Here is a 21,740-nt window from a genome sequence, read left to right on the forward strand (position 1 = left end):
ACAAGGAAAAAATATTGAAAAAATACTTTTAAACAAATTAAAATAGGAAAGACCATTCTGTGTATAAAATGAAAGTTTAGAAGTCATAAGAGAAAACATAGATAAAATTAACCGTGTTAATTTTTTAAATTCTGTATGGCAAAAATTATCTTAAGCAAAATAAATAAGAGAAACAACAAACCGGGAGAAAATATTTGCAGTTCATCACAAACACAGGGATAATTTGTTATATATGAAAAGTTTCTACAAATCAACAAGATAAAAAGTGAAGAGCATGATTTTAAAATGGGCAAAGGATAAAAAGAAATAGTTCACAAAAAAGAAACTATAAGGGACTCTTAAAAATTTGAAAAGGAGCAAATATAAGTCTAACGCAAATTTAACTTCACTGAGACATCTTTCATTTACAGAATTAAAAGACTGAAAAGTCTAATTACCCACTCTGTTGGTAAATCTGTGGGGGGAAGAATAACTCTCATCTATTGATGCAAAGAATGTAAATTTATACAGTCTCTATGGAGAACAATTTGATAATGTCTATCAAAATTACAAATGTACATTGAAATTTATGCAACATATATACTCTGCACAACACAGCTCAATTATACACACTCAAAAAAGGAGCTTTAAGATGTATTGTTAAGCAGAAAAAGCAAAGTACAGAAAGGTAATATGTCTGACGAGGGAGAAAATGATACACATTTGATTGTCTATGCATACCTCTGGAAAGATACATAAGAAACTCACAACATTAGTTGCCTCTAGAGACTGAAGTGCTGGGCACTTGATGAGAAGGAGATTGTTTTTTTCCCTGTTTACCCTTTTGTACCTTTTGAGTACAAATCATGTAAATGTAATATTTATTTGTAAATAAATAATATTAAATTTTCAAACATTGAAGCAGAAAGGGAAAAAGAATGATTTTGCTTCAACACAAAAAATGTCTAAATCAAATTCACTAAATTTTAAAATTATAACTTTAGCTTTTCTCCATAAGTTACTGAGCCCAAATTGCACATAGTTCTGTTTGACATTTGCCTATAAGGAACATCAAACTTTTATTTCTCAGTACAGATTATGCAACTGTTTTTTTGTTTTGTTTTGTTTTGTTTTGTTTTGTTTTTTTGAGACCGAGTCTTTCTCTCTGTCGCCCGGGCTAGAATGTAGTGGCGCGATGTCAGCTCACTGCAACCTCCGCCTCCCAGGTTCAAATGATTCTCGTGTCTCAGCCTCCTGAGTAGCTGGGACTACAGGCATGCACCACCACACCCGACTAATTTTTATATTTTTTAGTACAGACGGGGTTTCTCCATGTTGGCCAGGCTGGTCTTGAACTCCTGACCTCAGGTGATCCGCCCAAGTCAGCCTCCCAAAGTGCTGGGATTACAGGAGTGAGCCACCATGCCCAGCCTCGCAAACGGTTTACTTTCATACAAATTATATGTGGTTTCAAAAAGTTAACACCTAACCCCCATCTAGAAATTATGGATAATATCTATTAATTACCTAAAGAAACGTCTTTAAAGAATGCTTTTCACTATTGTGATGAGGCTTTTTAAACGAGGTGGATTTCTTGCATTTATATTATATATCAAATATTTTGCTTTGCCTTTTTATTTGAGTATCATCATCACTTTTCTATTTTTACAGATAAAGGAAGCAGGGGAGTCACTTGGGTAGAGTCGTGAGCTTCAGATTACACAGTTTCTATGCCAGGATTTGAACTCAGGTTCATCTGACCTCAGAGTTCATACTTTGTTCACTCCACCACATCATCTTTAAAAAATAAACAAATAAAGCAAGAATAGAGTTTGCTTATTTCTCATCTTGAATGCAACTTGAAACTATAGCCTTTGATTTAAGAGGCCAGTCTCTCCAATTCTTCTTCTCATTGGATGGTTTTATAAATTCATATCATGACTTGCACTAACTAGAACCTAAATGCTAGAAAAGTTGTTTTGAGGTTTTCACTTTGGAATGTGTTGTGTGTGCACATATTTGGTATAGATATGTGTATGTGTATACGTGTGTGTGTGTGCGTGTGTACATAAATATACATTCCAAAGTCAAAACCTCAAAAAATCCTTTCTACTCACACGGATACACACACTTGTCTGTCTATCTATCTGTCTGTCTGTCTGTCTGTCTGTCTATCTATCTATCGATGTATCTGTCTGTCTGTCTATCTATCCATCCTTACCATCTTTACATCAGCGCGATGAAGGCAGTATATATTACCAGTGGTGATAGAACAAAGTCTGCAGTCAGACCTAAGTTAGAGATCTGGCTCCATCACCATTATATATTAGCTATATGACCTTGAAAATCTGAACCTTTCTAAGGCCTGCTGTCCTCATTTGTAAAATGAATATAATAACATTTCTTATCTCACAGGATAGTTTTGAGGAGTAATTAAGGTAAAGTATGTAAAGCATTTTGCTCAGCACCTGGCACACAGCCAACGCTCAATAAGTAGCACCACTGCTGTTGTTGCTGCTGCTGCTGCTGGTGATGATAGTGGTGGTGATGATGGTAGTAGTGGTGGTAGTGGTGGTGGTGGTGATGATGGTGGTGGTGGTGATGGTGATGGTGGTGGTGGTGGTGATGGTGGTGGTGGTGATGGTGGTGTTGGTGGTGGTGATGGTGATGGTGGTTGTGGTGATGATAGTAGTGGTGATGGTTTTGGCCATGATGGTGTTTGTAGTGGTGATGGTGGTGACGGTGGCCTAACTAGCCAATATAAAAAGAAACCCGGCTGGGTGCAGTGGTTCACACCTGTAATCCCAGCACTTTGGGAGGCCGAGGCAGGTGGATCACGAGGTCAGGAGATCGAGACCATCCTGGCTAGCACAGTGAAACACCGTCTCTACAAAAAAATTAGCCAGGCGTGGTGGTGGGCACCTGTAGTCCCAGCTACTCGGGAGGCTGAGGCAGGAGAATGGTGTGAACCTGGGAGGCGGAGCTTGCAGTGAGCCGAGATCACGCCACTGCACTCCAGCCTGGGCAGCAGACTGAGAGTCTGTCTCAAAAAAAAAAAAAAAAAAACCAAGCCCAAATGATCAATACTGAAACTCTAGAGCTACCATGGACATGACTAATTAATGAATCTGACGTAATGTTGCTATGTAAAAATGGGCTTATATAATTCTAGAAAGAGTCACGGAAAGAAAAAAAAGTACTGAGAAGGAGGTGATGATGAGCAATAAGGAGTGTTTCCTGGGTAGGAGTGAGGAATCTCTATTTAGGTCTAGAAGATACCTTAAAGATGACTTTAAACATCTTCCTAGGCCAAGCGCGGTGGCTCACGCCTGTAATCCCAGCACTTTGGGAGGCCGAGGCCAGGAGTTCAAGACCAACCTGGCCAACATGGCAAAACCCCATCTCTACTAAAAATACAAAAAAATTATCCAGGCAGGGTGGTGGGCGCCTGTAACCCCAGCTTCTCGGGAGACTGAAGCAGGAGAATCGCTTGAACCTGGGAGGCGGAGGCTGCAGTGAGCCAACACTGCGTCATTGCACTCCAGCCTGGGCGACAAGAGTGAAACTCCGTCTCAAAAAAAAAAAAAAAAGAATCTTCCCATTGGATGACTTCAATTTTTGTGTTTCCACCTTCCCCCAGCCAGAGGATGAAAACATTAGGTTAGAAAATACTTGAAGATCGGCTGGGTGCGGTGGCTCAAGCCTGTAATCCCAGCACTTTGGGAGGCCGAGGCGGGCAGATCACAAGGTCAGGAGATGGAGACCATCCTGGGCAACATGGTGAAACCCCGTCTCTACTAAAAATACAAAAATTAGCTGGGTGTGGTGGTGCATGCCTGTAGTCCCAGCTACGCAGGAGGCTGAGGCAGGAGAATCGCTCGAACCCGGGAGGTGGAGGTTGCAGTGAGCCGACATCATACCACTGCACTCCAGCCTGGAGACAGAGCGAGACTCGGTCTCAAGAAAAAAAAAAAAATACTTGAAGATCAACGTCGTCTGTTTTCTTCTAGGTATGTGGGAGACAGGAAACGAATCAGGCAAAGACCATTGAGTGTCTACCACGTACTAAGCTCTGTGTAAAGTGGTTTGGAGAGATAAGGTGGAAAAGTACAGGGAACAGGGAAACATAAAAAAAGTACAAGCCTGCGCCTGTAGTCCCAGCTACTCGGGAGGCTGAGGCAGGAGAATGGCCTGAACCCGGGAGGCGGAGCTTGCAGTGAGCCGAGAGCTCGCCACTGCACTCCAGCCTGGGCGACAGAGCGAGACTCCGTCTCAAAAAAAAAAAAAAGAAAAGTACAAGCCTTCCATCACCTCTGAACACATACACACACAACCCTAAATACATGCAGCCAGAAATGCATAACAAACAAATAAACAAACCAGGGCTTCTCTGTGCACTTAATCAGTAAAATAATTCATCACTAAAGTGATACAGACTCGGTTATCTTTGTAATTCAGATATGAAATAATAGTGGGAAATGGTGAATCCAAGAGCTCTATGGTTTATGCACTCATATCTGAAAACATTTATTAAACATGTACCTTTTGTAAAAAAGTGAGTATGCATTTGGAAGTTTTTTCTCACAAGTGTGTGTATTTTACTTCCACATTTAGGCCAAGGGTCTAATTTTATCTACTGTTTTAATATTTTCCAGTACACAATATCGAACTCTCTCAAAATTGACACACAAATACATCTATGATTGACTGCAGTAGTATTTGACAGTCCCAGGTAAAAGAATAATTTAGTGTGGGTTGCCAGATCTTTCTCTGTTGGCTGGAAAGTGAGCAGCTCCTTGGGATGGTGTGGCAATACCCTATGTTGCTATTGTTTTTTAATACCATGTGGTTTTATGGAGTAAAAAAGAAACAATGGGCTGGCAAGTTTGGGAAAAGCTCTTCAAAACTGAACTAAAATATGACCTCCATTTTGTATTCTGGAGTCTTAGCCTTTCAAAGCTCTATTTTTTACAGGTTGCTTTCATGTGTCTTCTTCCTAGAAATATCTTCCCTATCACCTCTCCTTCTACACAGATAACTTCCATTCAAATCTAGATCCACTATATTCCCTTCGTCCTTGGAAAACCACTCCTGGCCACAGTACTTAACCATCATCGTATTAGCAAATGTACAACTCACTGGGCTTTGGCATTGATAGGTTTTCTCTTTTTATAACCATGTTCTGTTTTCCCAACTAGAGCATGCATTATTGCCTCTATGGGTAATATATTCACATAATTCAAAAGTCAAAAGTTATAAAAAGTCATGAAGTGGGCCAGGCACGGTGGCTTATGCTTGTAATCCCAGCACTTTGGGAGGCTGAGGCAGGCAGATCAGGACGTCAGGAGTTTGAGATCAGCCCGGCCAACATGGTGAAACCCCATCTCTACTAAAAATACAAAAATGAGCTGGGCGTTGTGGCAGGAGCCTGTAGTTCCAGCTACTCTAGAGGCTGAGGCAGGAGAATCACTTGAACCCGGGAGGCAGAGGTTGCAGTGAGCCAAGATTGCGCCACTGCACTCCAGCCTGGGCGACAGAGCAAGACTCTGTCTCACAAAAAAAAAAAAAAAAAAGTTATGAAGTGATGTATCTTCCCCTTTCCCTCTCTTCCAGCCACCCAATTCACCTTTTGGAGGCAACCATTGTTATCATTTTCTTGGTATCTTTCTGGAGATATTATAATTATATTTAAGCAGATAATGAGGGACAGCTGTATGTGTATAAGTATATATTCCTCACACATATGCACATTCTTTCTACGTCTTTTTACATAAAGGATAATATACTGAGTAGTCTTTTGCACATTGCTTTTTTTCTTAACAACTTTTAAAAAATGGATGGATCATGATCTATTAACTAGTCCCCATTTGATGATAATAAGATACTTAGAATGTTTCTAATCTTTTGCTATTGCAAACAATGCTGTAATAAATCATCATATACATAATTCATTTTGGAAATGGGCAACTATATCTGTAGGAATTCTTAGAAGATTAATTGCTGAATCAAATTTGTAATTTTGATAGGCATTGCCAAACTGTTCTCTACAGGGGTAATATCAATGTATACTCCTATCTGTGGTATATTAGTGAGTCCCAGATAATTCTCATGCAGATGATCTAAGAACACTCTTGTTTTTCTAGGTTACTTAACGCTTGTGAGCCTTAGTTATTATCTGCAAAATGGGGATGTCATCTACCTCAGAGGCCTATTGTGGGGACTATTTTGTGATGAAAATATGCAAAACAGCTGTGAAAACTATCCAGCAAGATGAAAATGTTATTACTAAGAAAAATAGCTTCGGCTGGGCAAGGTGGTTCATGCCTGTAATCCCCGCACTTTGGGAGGCTGAGGTGGGTGGATCACTTGAAGTCAGGAGTTTGAGACCAGCCTGGCCGATGTGGTGAAACCCTGTCTCTACTAAAAATACAAAAATTAGCTGGGCGTGGTGGCGCACGCTTGTAATCTCAGGTACTTGGGAGGCTAAGGCAGGAGAATCGCTTGAACCAAGGAGGTGGAGGTTGCAGTGAGCCAAGATCACGCCATTGCACTGGAGGCTGGGCTACAAGAGTGAAACTCCACCTCAAAAAAAAAGAATAATAGTTTTCAGCACTTACTCACAATGGGCATTGTATTAGGTCCTTTAATTATGTTCTCCTTAATCCACACTGCAAAGTAAATGTAGTTAGTTCAGTTTTGCATTTCAGGAAACTAAAGCTCAGAGAGGAGACTCACAAGGCTACACAGCTGGCAAGTGGCAGAAAAGATATTGAAATCCAGGCTTGCACAGGTCCAGAGACTGGGCTTTTTCTACAGACCCACATTTTGACTAATAATTTACGTAAACTACTCCTATTGCTTTAGTTTTAATACATTTTTATTTAAGTTATCTATCAAACATAATGAGCGAGTAATGGCTTCACGCAGGATATGGGACTACAGCTGGACCATCAAGGATTGGTAGAATCTGGGCAGGTGAAATGCAAGTTGATGAAACTGTTCCAGCTAAGAATAGCATGCACAAGTGCTCAGAGGTGGGATAGAACATGGCATATTTGTAGGATACTGAGATTAGATTAAGTAGACGGGATACTTTGAGAAGTATTTGGAAGTGTGCTCAGGATCTTATTAATGAGTATTTTGAAAAATAGTTAGAAGATTGTTCTTAATATTGAGGACAATAAAGTGGGGGTAGAGGCCAATGAAGGTTTGTTTTGAGCAGAGTTGTAGCCATGAATGGTAGTTTTAGGAAATTTTATCTGAGTCTCTATGCATTAGGAATTGGAGGAAAGTCACTGGAAAATCCAGAAAGTAAATTATTGGTGTTTCCAGATGTAAGTCCATTCAACAAACAAACCATTCTTTCATTAATTCAACAAGTATTTATTAGTCACTTTCTATGGATGTCAGCCATAGCACTATTAGCTGAGAAGATATAAACACAATATGGCCTCTGCTTTTAAGGCTTTTTTTTTTTTTTTTTGAGACGGAGTCTGGCTCTGTTGCCCAGGCTAGAGTGCAGTGGTGTGATCTTGGCTCACTGCAACCTCCACCTCCCAGATTCAAGCAATTCTCCTGCCTCAGCCCCGCCAAGTAGCTGGGATTACAGGTGCCTGCCACCGCGCCTGACTAATTTTTGTATTTTTTAGTAGAGACTGGGTTTCACCATCTTGGCCAGGCTGGTCTCGAACTCCTGACCTCATGATCTACCCACCTCGGCCTCCCAAAGTGCTGGGATTACAAGGCGTGAGCCACCGCGCCTGGCCAAGGCTTTTAAACCTCATGATAATGGCATGATCTTAAGTGCCATCAGTCTCTCTGTTCCTCTTTTGCCACTCCCTTCAATTCTTCCTTCACTAGCCAGAGGGATCATTGAAAAATGCAAATCTGATTATATCAGTCCATGCTTAAGATCCTTTGGTAGTATGTTATGTACATTTTACTACAATAATTTTTAAAAGCCTTTAGTAGTTTTCCAGTGCTCTAAACTCTTTCATATATCATATTATCTCTCATCTTTGAGTCTTACGTAGTATATGCTTCCCCCTCTTCCAGGAATATTTACTGTTCTAGCTACCTCTCACTCTAACACTGGCTTGCTTCTACACAGTTTTCGGCTAAAACATCACTTCTAAAAGGAAAAAAAAAAATCACTCCTTTCTAGAAGCCTTCCTTGATGCCACCAGATCAGCTAGGTGCCATTCCTCCGCGTTACCATACACTTCTGATATCATCATGTTTTTTTTCACTGTACTATAACTACCTCTTTAATTGTCTTCCTGTTTAGACTGCAAACTCTACGTAAAGACGACCAAGTATATCCCAAGCATCTAGCGCAATGTCTGGCACATGGTAAAGTCTCAATAAATACCGACTAACCGAGTGAATGAGAGAATAAATAAATAAATGCAAAGGTGAAATAGCCACTCAAATGATCCAGCCTAGAAGATTTTACTTTGCTTGGGAAAGAAGCAAGTGTTTTCCATCATCTATAAAATGACATGAAGGCTAATCAATCTCTGGTCACCTTTCCAATTCAATATCAAATGGGGCAGAAATCCTAGGCGGCGATGGAGATGGAATGGCTGGTTATCAGATAACAAGCTGTGGGGAGGGTGGTTGCTATGACAACCTTTAAGCTTATTAAACACCAAAAGGCTATAGTGCACAGGAAAAACCGAGGTTCAAGTGGTCTTAGGATCTGCAGGCTCCAACTATCTGGTTTATACAGTTATTTGGGGTGTTTTTTGGAATCCTAGAATGCCAAAGCTGGTAGCATCTTGGAGATTTTTCCTTTTTGTATTCCTTATGGTACAAGTAGGTTCCAGAAAAGGCAAGGGATTTGTCCAAAGTCACACAGGAAATTAGGAACAAAGCTGAAGTTAGGAAACCTGAATCTTCTCACATCCATTGAAATGTTAGCATTTCTTGATTTCCAAAGGTGCTGGAACTTTCACAAATGTATCAATCAAAAGTAGGTTTGCAGGCCGGGTGTGGTGGCTCACGCCTGTAATCCTAACACTTTGGGAGGCCGAGGCAGGTGGATCTCTTGAGGTCAGGAGTTTGAGACCAGCCTGGCCAACATGGTGAAACCCCATCTCTACTGAAATACAAAAATTAGCTGGGCATGGTGGCAGGTTCCTGTAATCCCAGCTACTTGGGAAGCTGAGGCAGGAGAATCACTCGAACCCAGGAGGCAGATGTTGCAGTGAGCCAAGATCGCGTCACTGCACTCCAGCCTAGGTGACAGAGTGAGAGTCTGTCTCAAAAAAAAGAAAGAAAGAAAGAAAGAAAGAAAGAAAGAAAGAAAGAAAGAAAGAAAGAAAGAGTTTGCAGAGTTTCTTATTATATTAAATTTTTAAATTTAGTCACTCAAAACATTTTGCATTCATTCATTCACCCTTCAACCAGTATTTACCGAATGTTACCGTATATCTTGCACTATTAGGTGCTGCAGAAAATAGAAAGCTCTCTAATGCAGGATCCCTGGCCCTAATTTGATTTTGGCTGTGAAATGGGGGAAACTGAATTTTTTCTCAGTGTCAAATTATCACCCTACAGATTACTTGCTGTTTATAAAAAAGAAAGTATCACTTTTATAGAGGGCGACCAGGCTGTCCCCACTTTAACCCAGTAATGGATATTGGTGTCGCGAATGGTGAGACAACTAAACATTATGCATGCCCCCTGTTGTCCTGCTACCTGAAGTACTTGTAAAGTATTGGTACCAAAATGTTTAATCTGAATCCAATCAGGTTTAGACCTAACTTCAAGTTACAGAAAAGAAAAAAGATAGAAGAGCAAGCTAAACTACGCTGCATGGAAACTGTCAGACAAATCCAAAAGGTCCAACAGTCTGTGGAGGCAATTCCCCATTTCCCTCAACGAGGCAATGTTAATAGGAAATTTTATTTATTTTTTTTAGAGACTGAGTCTCACTCTGTCACCCTGGCCGGAGTGCAGTGGCGTGATCTCAGCTCACTGCAACCTCTGCCTCCTGGGTTCAAGTGATTCTCCTGTCTCAGCACCCCCAAGTAGCTGGGATTACGGGCATGTGCTACCACGTCACCTGATTTTGTATTTTTAGTGGAGACGGGGTTTCACCATGTTGGTCAGGCTGGTCTTGAACTCCTGGCCTCAGATGATCCACCTGCCTCAGTCTCCCAAAGTGCTGGGATTACAGGCATGAGCCACCGCACCCGGCCTAGGAAAATTTTTAAAAATTAAATGATGACTAAAGACTTAGACAAAATTAAACACTATTTGTGGTCCTTGATCGGATACTGATTTGAACAGACCAACCATAAAAGATACTTTTGAAAAATGAATAAATTTGTATATGGACTGGGTATTAAATGATGTTAAGGAACCATTGTTAATTTTGTTAGATGTGATAATGACATTGTGGTTATATAGGGGAAATGTCCAAAAACAGAGGTGTGGCGGGGTGCAGTGACTCATGCCTGTAATCCTAGCACTTTGGGGGTCCAAGGTGGGAGAATCGCTTGAGCTCAGGAGTTCAAGAACAGCCTGGGTAAGATAGTGAGACCTCGTCTCTACAAAACATTAAACAAATTAGCCAGGTGTGGTAGCAGACGCCTGTAGTGCCGGCTACTCAAGAGGCTAAGGTGGGAGGATTGCTTCAGCCCAGGAGGTTGAGACTGTAGTGAGCCAAGATCGCACTCACTGCACTCCAGCCTTGGAGACAGGGTGAGACCCTGTCTCATAAATAAATAAATAAATAAATAAATAAATAAATATGCATTCTTAAGTAATTAAAGTGAAAGTTCTTGAAATCAGAATTTACTGTAAGTAAACCTCAGGGGGTGTAACAATAAATATGACAAAAGGTTAATAATAACTTAAATTTTGGTGATAGATACGTGGGCATTCCTTATACTATTTTCTTTGTTTTTCTATTTGTTGGAAGTTCCCAACCATGCAAATTAAAAGAAAAAGAAAGGAGTGAAAATACTACTCAAGCTGGAAAGAAAGTTGAACAAGGGCAAAAGTGAGTGTATGATCAGCACTCTGTGCCCAGAAAGTAACACAGACCAAAAAGTTTCTAGAAGTCTAGAGAAAAAAAAGATCTCTTGGCCTGAGGTGGGCAAAGAATAGTTCATGGCAAAGGTGACACTCAGACGAATAGAACTGCAATGTGCGTTGACAGAGCCAAGCACTGGTAACTATAGAAGGATCAAGACAGTTGCCAGTTTACAAACACACTCCCCAGCCAGGCAGGGTGGCTCATGCCTGTAATCCCAGCACTTTGGGAGACCGAGGTGGGCAGATCACCTGAGGTCGGGAGTTTGAGACCAGCCTGGCCACATGGTGAAACCCCATCTCTATTAAAAATACAAAAAATTAGCCAGGCATGGTGGCACGTGCCTGTAGTCCCAGCTACTCGGGAGGGTGAGGCAGGAGGATCACCTGAACCCGGGAGGCAGAGGTTGTAATGAGCCGAGATCACGCGACTGCACTCCAGCCTGGGCGATAGAGTGAGACTCCGTCTCAAAATATATAATACTCCCCTCCCACTGTGGGCTGCAGAAGGGAACCTGGCAAATCTAACTCTCAGAGATACCAGGCCTCATTGCTTAATTTGATATTAAGTCCACTCGCTATTCGTCGATGGGTGAACCTCCTGCTATGCACCTGATGGGAGCCTGACCTCCTGCTATGCACCGCCGTAAGCTCCCAGCCAAATAAATCAAAGCTAATTAAAAACGCAAAGGGATGCTCATTTGCAAAGAAATGACCTCCAGCTACTTGTTGCACCAGTCAGAGGCCGTCTCAGTCCAACCCAATTAGCACTTTCCCAAGAGATTCCTTTGACCCTGCTCCCACCACAACAGCAGGCTGTAGTTCCAGCCCCAGCAAAACTACCCAGAAGCCTTTGAAAGGCAGAGTCTCAAGCGCAATGTTGACCATTTTACCTAACCCTTATCCCTTAAGAACAAATTCAGTGAGTCTACATCAAACAAAACAACAGCCAAATGGATGATGTTGCCATTTATAAGCTCTGACTAATGCAGCTCCTGATTTCCCTTCCAAATTAAATGCCTTTCGCTTAGTACATTTTCAACAGACGTTACTCATCTGCTCTATTAATGAGTTTGCTGCGAAAGCGTACTTTGGTAGCAATTTGAAACAAAAGCACCTTAACGTGACTGAGGCTTTGCTTCCCGTTCTCTTTCCATCTCAGCCTCTCTTCCTCCCTCTCCCTCCCCAGGGCAAATGCATCACTGATGTAAGGGTGGGGAAGCTGGAGTCGCCAAGGGTTCTCTTCTGTGTCACTACACTACATTAGGAATAAAACCTTCCACTTAAACACTTAAATGAAAACATCGAGAAACTAATTTACTATTTGCAATCACATGACTTAAACCGAAGCTGCCTTAATTTCCTTCCCATTTTGCTTCAAATTCAATGTGAGCGCACCCTAGATTGGTCTATGAAAAGGCTGTCTTCGAATCACAACACTTAAAGCCTCTTTCATTTTCTTTTTGATTAAATAATTGAAATTCCTGTCAGGGCCTGCACTTTACTGACGCACAGATTTGGTGTGTGAGGATAAAGACCACTTTTTGTTTGCTGCCTGGGTCTTAAAAGCCAGTGGGCTTTACTTCGTTGAGGGGCTGATCAAAATGTACCCATGCTATTCACCCATTTCGCAGAAATTTCCTGCATGCATTAAGCGATTGTTTGAAGACAAATTATGAAAAGCATGTCCTCTCATTTAGCCATCCTTGTTCACCTGGAGGCTCCTGCCTGCTGAAAGGAGCCCAGCGACTCCAACACCAACGTCATTCATTAGGAAAACAAAACCGAAGACTCGCATGCACGTATATGTACACACACAAAATGAACAAATAGTGGGAAGAATTATTGTAAGTCTTAAGTCACAGGAAATTTGATTTGCTTCAACTAAAACACCCGAGGATAGGCCGGCGTGGCGGGTCGCCCCTGTAATCCCAGCACTCTGGAAGGCCGAGGGGGCTGGATCACCTGAGGTCAGGAGTTCGAGATCAGCCTGGCCAACATGGTGAAACACTGTCTCTACTAAAAATACAAAAAATTAGCCAGACGTGGTGGCAGACCCCTGTAATTCCAGCTACTCGGGAAGCTGAGGCAGGAGAATCTCTTGAATCTGGGAGGCAGAGGCTGCAGTGAGCCAAGAGCATGCCATTGCACTCCAGCGTGGGCAACAAGAGTGAAACTCCATCTCAAAAAAAAAAAAAAAAAAAACCTGAGGATAACCTGAGGTCATCCCATGATGGACCATGGTAAGAGAAGCCCAGGTGGATGTCATGATCCTGTATCACCATGGGCCCCTAAGCTCCTGGTCATGAAGGAGGCAAGTGGATCTTAAAGGAGACAAGAAGAGGCCTTCATTTAGAGGAGAAGCTGAACTCCCCCTTCTCCAGTCCCATCATGGGATGAGGAGTGGTTGAATTGGGTGGCTGCAGGTATTTATGTGGCTCTGCCCTTTGACACTGGTCTCTAACACCTGTATAGTCTTAGAATGTGTGTCTGTGTTTGAATACAGATCATGCATTCTCCTTAATGAAGCTGATCATCAGACACTCCAGAATATACCTTCCAACTCTACTGAGCTATATGCCCTTGGGCATATTCTCTGTGACCTCTTAGAGCCTCTGTCTTATCTGTACAATGAGGACATTAATAAATGGCCCCTACCTCCTCACAGGATGGCTGGGAGTTTTAAATGAGACAATGCGTGGAAAGTGCTTAGGGCAGCATCTGGCATGTGGTAAGTGCTTAATAAAAATTAGGCAATACTGCCGCTATGTGCTCATGTATCTTTACGTGTGCATCTCCATGTGGACCACATTCACATTCCCTCAAGTACTGCACTTGCAGAGGATGATCTTGGCCACATTCTCCCCATTAAAAAACAAAAACCTTCCTGGGTACAGGAGAGCCTATATTGTATATAACACATGCATGCGCACGCACACACACACACACACACACACAATATAATATTATAGCATAAAGGGGCCTTAAAAGATATCTGGCCCAGCGTCTACCCAAAGTTGGCCTCACATCAAAAACCACATCTAAGACAGTTTAATGTCTTCCTCATTGGACGCCTCAATTTACTTCCATGAAACCTCTACTGCTGATTCCTATTCAGATCTCTGAACTCATGGAAGAAAGCTCACTGCCACAGAAAAGCCCTTCCAATATTAAGAAAACAAAACAGCCAGATGCAATGGCTCATGCCTGTAATCCCAGCACTTTGGGAGGCCGAGGTGGGCAGATCACTAGGGCAGGAGTTTGAGACCAGCCTGGCCAACATGGTGAAACCCTGTCTCCACTAAAAATACAAAAATTAGGCAGGCGTGGTGGCTCACACCTGTAATCCCAGCTACTCAGGAGGCTGAGGCAGGAGAATCACTTGAACCCAGGAGGCAGAGGTCACAGTGAGCTGAGATCATACCACTGTAGTTCAACCTGAGCAACAGAGCCAGACTCCATCTCAAAAAAAAAAAAAAAAAAAAAAAGAGTATGATATGGTTTGGATCCATGTCCCTGCCCAAATCTCATGTCAAACTATAATCCCTAATGTTGGAGGTGGGTCCCAGTGGGAGGTGATTGGTACATGGGGGTAGATTTCTCATGGATGGTTTAGCACTATCCCCCTTGGTACTGTCATTGCAATAGTGAGTTCTCCTGAGATCTGGTCACTTAAAAGTGTGGCACCTCCTCCCCCAGCAACCTTGCTCCTGCTCCTGCCATGTGAAATACCTGCTCGCCCTTTGCCTTCCGCCATGATTGGAAGCTTCCTGAGGCCTCCTTAGAAGCGGAAGCTGCTATGCCTCCTGTACAGCCTGCAGAACCATAAGCCATTAAACCTCATTTCTTCATAAATTACCCAGTCTCAGGTATTTCTTTACAGCAATGCGAGAACAGACTAACAGAGAGTGCATCCCTTCAAGTGCCAAACAGAAAGATGTTGGCATTAGCCACTGTTTTTATTATCACTTAGTTGCCCTCCTTCTTTGTAGTAGAATAGTGATTGAGGTAGAATTCCCTCATGAATGAAGAAAATTGAATGCATTATCAAGGTCAGATTTGCGAATGTACCACAGCCAGCCACAGGAGGTGAGTTGGGAAGGTCATGATTAAAAGCAGGCATTTAGATGGAAGAGCCAGTCTGTACAGCTCTGGACAAAGGAAGTGGAGGCACCGGCAGTGATGCAAACACACCCCTGCCCGGAGGCCAAGGGAGACACATGATGTCTTTTAAGGGTCCCAGCCAGCCAGAATTCCCTTTCTGTAAAACAAAACTAATTCACCATATTCAGACAGAGTAGAGAAGGCTGTTAAAGTAGGACAAGGATCCTGTCTTCTCATTTTCACATTCAGGATCTTGGTGGCCGGGAGAGCTAACAGGACAGTCTTCTAGCCTTGACCTTCAACTCCTACCAGAGCTCCGGCTGCTCCCACCTTGCTCTTACCTTTTTTTTTTTTTTTGAGACGGAGTCTCGCTCTGTTGCCCAGGCTGGAGTGCAGGGGCGTGATCTCAGCTTGCCGCAAACTCCGACTCCCGGGATCAAGTGATTCTCCTGCTTCAGCCTCCTGAGTAGCTGGGATTACAGGTGCCCGCCACCATGCATGGCTAATTTTTGTATTTTTAGTAGAGTCAGGGTTTTACCATGTTGGCCAGCTGGTCTCAAACTCCTGACCTCAAGTGATTCGCCTGCCTCGGCCTCCCAAAGTGCTGGGATTAGAGGCATGAGCCACCATACCTGACCACTCTTACCTCTTTCTTGAGCTCTTTCTCTGGTATAATCTCTCAGTGTTTGAACATTTTATTTCCATTTCTAAGCCTGCTGGGCAGCTCAGGAAGGAAGAGTTATTAGCCATGCAAACTTGTTGCCCTGAACTCCCAGGGGCACATACTTTGGGCAAAATGGGAAGGGTGATTTTGAAGAGTTGGAACTCAAATAATCTAGGGGGAAATCCAAGCAAGGTTGCTCTTGTGGGGCCATGGAGAATATACTTCTGGCCTTTACTACTCTGAACAGGCATTACTCTGAGTTGTCCAATGAGCAGATCCATGGATAGAGGCAGAAGAGCTGGGTTTTGGTCCTCAAGCCATTGCTGCCTTCCCAGGTGACCTCCTGCAGCTCAGTTTCCCTCTGTGTGGAATGAACTTAGCCTCCCAGGCCTGCTAATGAGCTGCAATGATTGCCAGATCAAAGGGTGTTTGGGAACATTTCCAGCCTTACCAGTGAGGTGGAGAAAAAGCAGGCAAAGCAAGGTGATTTAGAAAATGCCACTTTACCTGTTGAACCAAAGAGCCAGAAGTGGAACTCACAGAAATACAACTGAGATTACCCCGAGGTGCACAGTAAATAGTACAATTCATTTCTCACCTAGGCCACCAACTCTTGTCCCTAGGAGAATCCAGATTGCATCCAAATTTTGTTCTGATTTCCTTCCATCTGTGATAACTTCGTTGTTCTGAAATACAACGATGGTTTTTCATATCATTGGTCGTGGTTGTAGCCCGTGCGAGAATAATGATGTATGCTTTCCCTGGAAATCAGCTAGATCCAGAGTTCCCAAATGGTGGTCTATGGACCAATGCTGACACATGACAAGGTTTTTATTAATTAAATGAGAACAATAAGGACACTGTAAAGAATCTCTCGAGTTTAATTTATTTCATTTAAAGGGCTTTTCTTCTGAGATGATAGTGTTGGAATGTAAGCTCCAAGAGGGTAAGGACTTTGATGATATTCTTGTTCTCTGTTTTCCAATACCCAGAAGAATACCTGTATGTAAGAGGCACTCAATCAATATTTGTTGAATGAATGAAGGAAAAATTATTTCCTTTCTATTTTCCTGGATTAAAATATCCTTTTTTTAATGAAATGGTATTGAAAGTAAATGGTAGGAGGTTTTGAAAACTTTTTTTCTATGGAAAAATAAAAGTATATAATTATTTTTAAAAGGTTATTGATCTTTAATGTCTAAGTTTGAGAATTTCTAGACCAGATGATCCATTAAGGACCATTTCATCTTATGATCCATCAGACATAGGGTGGGAACACGTTCAAAGCCCTTTAGTTAAATCATAGCAGGCCACACGCAGTCCCAGCACTTTGGGAAGCTGAGGCAGACAGATCACTTGAGGTCAGGAGTTCGAGACCAGCCTGGCCAACATGATGAAACCCTGTTTCTACTGAAAATACAAAAACTAGCCAGGCGTGGTGGTGCGCACCTGTAGTTCCAGCTACTGGGGAGGCTGAGGCAGGAGAATCACTTGAACCCAGGAGGCAGAGGTGGCAGTGAGCTGACATCTAGCCACTGTACTCAGCCCAGGTGACACAGCAAGACTGTCTCAAAAGAAAAGAAAAGAAAAAAAAATCATGGCAGAAATGTTTCCCCTCTGAAGTCTTAGAAGCAGAGAGCTGAGTTAAGATACTGGAAAACACATATTAGCCATGTAACCTCTGGCAAGTCATGAAAGCCTAGTTTTCTTCTGTAAGATGGGAATAATGCTGCCTCAAAGGATTATGGTGGCTTCAAACGAGAGAGCAATGTGTGAAAGCACGTGGGGCCTGGTTGTTTATTTTTAAAGTCTGAAATTAATAAAATTTAAGGTTTCCACAAAAAAACCCTGAAACCTACACTACTATTTGAAATTACTCGAGACAACTTGATTATGTAGAAATATTGTATTCTTTTTTCTTTCTCAACTTTTCTTTTAATCTTTGGATTCTTTTTGATAGCTGTTAGTAACCTCCAAGAGTGGAGATAGAAAAGGAATGAACTTCTCCACAACTTCTTGTCCAGTTGTCTATTTACAGAGAAAGAGGCGCAGCCTAAAGTCAGCCACACACACAAACATTAGCAATTAGTTCTGTGAGCTCAGTGAAGTTGAAGCTGTGTCCTTTCCCATGGTTTCTAAACCTTGGCACTCTTGACATTTTGGAATGGGCCATTTTTGTTGTTGTTGTGGGGGCTGTCTTGTGCATTGTGGGATGTTTAGCAGTATCTCTGGCTTCTACCCACTACATACTCACACACATACATGCTTATAATTGTGACAACCAAAAATGTTTCCAGACCACTGCAAATGCCCCCCAGGAAGGGTTGGTGGGGAAAGCAAAATTGTCCCCAGTTGAGAACTACTAACTTGCAAGTATCTGGCAAGCAAGGTTCACTTGCAGTGACTTCAGATCCTTTCTTATTTAGAGCCAGGCAATCAAATCCTGTATAAGCTTCCTAAAACATGACCAGGCAAAATTCTAAGCCTAGGGCACTATTTCGAAAGGTTAGGCCACTAGGCCACAGGGAAGCAAATTCCCTGTTCATTCACTAGTACCTTGTCAATATTTCTAACCAATCCATATATCTTGAATACCATTCATTTCACCAGTAAAAAATCCTTTCTAACACCAATTGTGCACATTAACAAGACTCTGGTGTTAATAGGAAATAAAGATTATTAAAGTGCCTGATAGCAGCCACTTCAAGGGTATGGACTTTTGATTAGAGACACTCAAATGCTAACTAACCCACCCTGAAGTGTGAGAGATACACCACACTGTTCATACAGAAGTAATTTTAAATAAAGGCAATATAGTAGCTTAAAATAAAAGCTATTTAGATATCCCAAATCTTTACGTCATTATTATTATTATAGAGATGTTATTGATCCATGAAATCCAAACATCTGAAAACCATTGTCCTGGCCAAACGTGGTAGCTCACACCTATAATCCCAGCACTTTAGGAGGCCGAGGTGGGCCGATCACTTGAGGTCAGGAGTTTGAGGCCAGCCTGGCCAACATGGTGAAATCCCGTCTTTGCTGAAAATACAAAAATTAGCCGGGTGTGGTGGCGCATGGCTGTAATCCCAGAAACTCAGGAGGCTGAGTCAGGAGAATCACTTAAATCCGGGAGGTGGAGTTTGCAGTGAGCCGAGATCGTGCCACTGCACTCCAGCCTGGGTGACAGAGCAACTCTGTCTCAAAACAAACAAGCAACAACAACAAAAAAAAAACCATCGGTCTGCATTGAACTGGTTCTTTGTGAAAGGCTGTTCAGGTGGGAATGAGTCTCTCCAAAGGAACCCTTGCGCTCAGACTGATCCTGCATGTGATTTGTAGCCAAATTTTAATGAAAACCAAGTCCCCAGCCACTTTTCCCAACTGACAGTGAGGCTGGTTTAGAACAGAAGTCAACCTGGAGTCCATCTTGGGGGTGAATTGCATGATTGCCAACCAGAGTTTGTTTCTCGGTGAGTTTGTGTGTATAAGAATGCACAAGTTGCAATTAATTCCCAGCGAAGTCACTCCTCAAGTTAATTAGAAATGCAAAGTGTGAGTCTAAATGTTATGAGATTATAAAATGGCTTAATAATGGGAACAATGAGATTGAAGCATATGCATTCTGGCCATGTAAATATTTCATAACAGTGCCAATCTGATTTCATTTGCCTAATCATGCCATTGATATGCAGCCGCCAGCCTGCAAATAGAAAGGCTGAATTGCCGCAGATCACCCTTCTAATGTCATAATTATTAATATTGGAGGGAAATGGAGCTGCTACACTCCGACGGAAGCTGCTAGGCCTTTTGAATTGAGATGGGGACGGCACTACTGGGGAAAGAGGAGGAAGGTGATACAGCAGCCCCAACATCCCCATTCTGCTTGTTGGCCAGAAGTATTTAGGTAATTAGGCGGCTCAACAAATTAAAGCGATGAGAATGCTGAAGAGAAGAGTTGCAGGGCATCAATTCCCCAGTCCTCAATCAAAATCATAATGAAACACACACACACACACCCTGGAAAAAAAGAAAAAGAAGAGATGTTTTGTGGCAATGAAGGATTCTGTGCATGAGAGTTCAGCTCATTGCTGGATGGTGTTGTGGGGCTGAGCAGGGCAGCAGCCTCTCGCTTCTGGCTTCCTCTGTTTGGTCAGCCTGTTTCACAGAGTACTTCATGCACAAAGCCCTTTTATTTGCATAGAATGTGACTTTCCCATTGACACTTGAGAACTGTTTTCCCTGTCTTTCCAATTCTACCACTTTGAAACATTTCTTCTCTCCTTAACTCATTTCCCCATGTGTGTCTTGTCTCTCCACTTTGAGCACAGGGAATTCCTAGAATGCTCTCTATATCCTCCCTACAGTTAGTATAATGTCAGAAATTCAGTGGCTTGACTGATTCAACTCCTCTAGGTGGCACAGTGAGGGAAAGGCTGGCCCTGCACTTGGCTGTGTCAGCTTGGGCAAGTCACCTAACCCCTCGGGGTCTCACTGTTTCCATTTGTAAATGGGGATCATAATGCCTATCTCACAGTACTGTTGTGAAGGGTGTTTGTTTGTTTGTTTGTTTGAGACGGAGTCTTTCTCTGTCGCCCAGGCTGGAGTGCAGTGGCGCAGTCTTGGCTCACTGCAACCTCTGCCTCCTGGGTTCAAGCAATTCTCCTGCCTCAGCCTCCAGAGTAGCTGGAACTACAGGCTCCCACCACCACGTCCAGCTCATTTTTGTATTTTTAGTAGAGTCGGGGTTTCACCATGTTGGCCGGGATCGTCTTGATCTCTTGACCTCATGATCCACCTGCTTCGGCCTCCGAAAGTGATGGTATTACAGGTGTGAGACACTGCGCCTGGCCTGGAGTTTTTTTTTAATGTGACCTCACTATTGATTTAGTTATACGTTGCCTTGTTTCAAAAAGGATCTGGAGCAACAAGAAAGCAGTGTAATACAATATTAAATACGATCCAATTTTTTTTTTTTTGAGACAGAGTCTCACTCTGTCGCCAGGCTGGAGTGCAGTGTCGCAATCTCGGCTCGCTGCAACCTCCGCCTCCCGGGTTCAAGCAATTCTCCTGCCCCAGCCTCCCGAGAGTAGCTGGGACTACAGGCGCCCGCCACCACACCCAGCTAATTTTTTGTATTTTTAGTAGAGACAGGGTTTCACCATGTTGACCACGATGGTCTCGATCTCTTGACTTTGTGATCCGCCCGCCTTGGCCTCCCAAAGTGCTGGGATTACAGGCGTGAGCCACCACGCCCAGGCCCAAATGTTTTTAAAATGCACATTTTCTTTTTTTTTTTTTTTTTTTTTTTTTGAGACTGAGTCTCACTCTGTCACCAGGCTGGAGTGCAATGACATGATCTTGGCTCACTGCAACCTCTGCCTCCCGGGTTCAAGTGATTCTCCTGTCTCAGCCTCCCGAGTAGCTGGGATTGCAGGTGCCCGCCACCATGCCCGGCTAATTTTTGTATTTTTAGTAAAGACAGGATTTCACCATGTTGGCCAGGCTGGTCTCAAACTTCTGACCTCAAGTGATTCGCACACCTGGGCATCCCAAAGTGCTGGGATTATAGGACTGAGCCACTGTGCCTGGCCCAAAATGAACACTTTCAATGATGAGTTTCTGTGCTTCCTTTTGCTCCAAACAGTCTTTCCCTAGCAAAGGAGTTATCATCTGAAACAAACACTAGTAGAGTTTCCCTTTAAGTAAGAATCTTGAGCTGGGCGTGGTGGCTCATGCCTGTAATCTCAACACTTTGGGAGACCCAGGCAGGCGGATCACTTGTCAGGAATTCGAGACCAGCCTGGCCAACATGGTGAAAGCCCGTCTCTACTAAAAGTAGAAAAATTAGCCAGGCCTGGTGGCATGCGCCTTTAATCCCAGCTACTCAGAAGGCTGAGGCACGAGAATCGTTAGAACCTGGGAGGCGGAGGATGTAGTGAGACGAGAC

The 21,740-nt window shown here is 42.8% G+C and overlaps 1 annotated feature.

The window, feature by feature from the left end:
- Nucleotides 20,013–20,307: a silencer, noted in NCBI's record as "tiled region #1125; HepG2 Repressive non-DNase unmatched - State 22:ReprW". NCBI's record gives its function as "represses a minimal TATA promoter and a strong SV40 promoter by Sharpr-MPRA in HepG2 cells {active_cell/tissue: HepG2}" and the evidence as "EXISTENCE:reporter gene assay evidence [ECO:0000049][PMID:27701403]".

The sequence above is a fragment of the Homo sapiens genome, chromosome 11 (genome assembly GCF_000001405.40).
Source record: "Homo sapiens chromosome 11, GRCh38.p14 Primary Assembly".
NCBI classification, from domain to species: domain Eukaryota; kingdom Metazoa; phylum Chordata; class Mammalia; order Primates; family Hominidae; genus Homo; species Homo sapiens.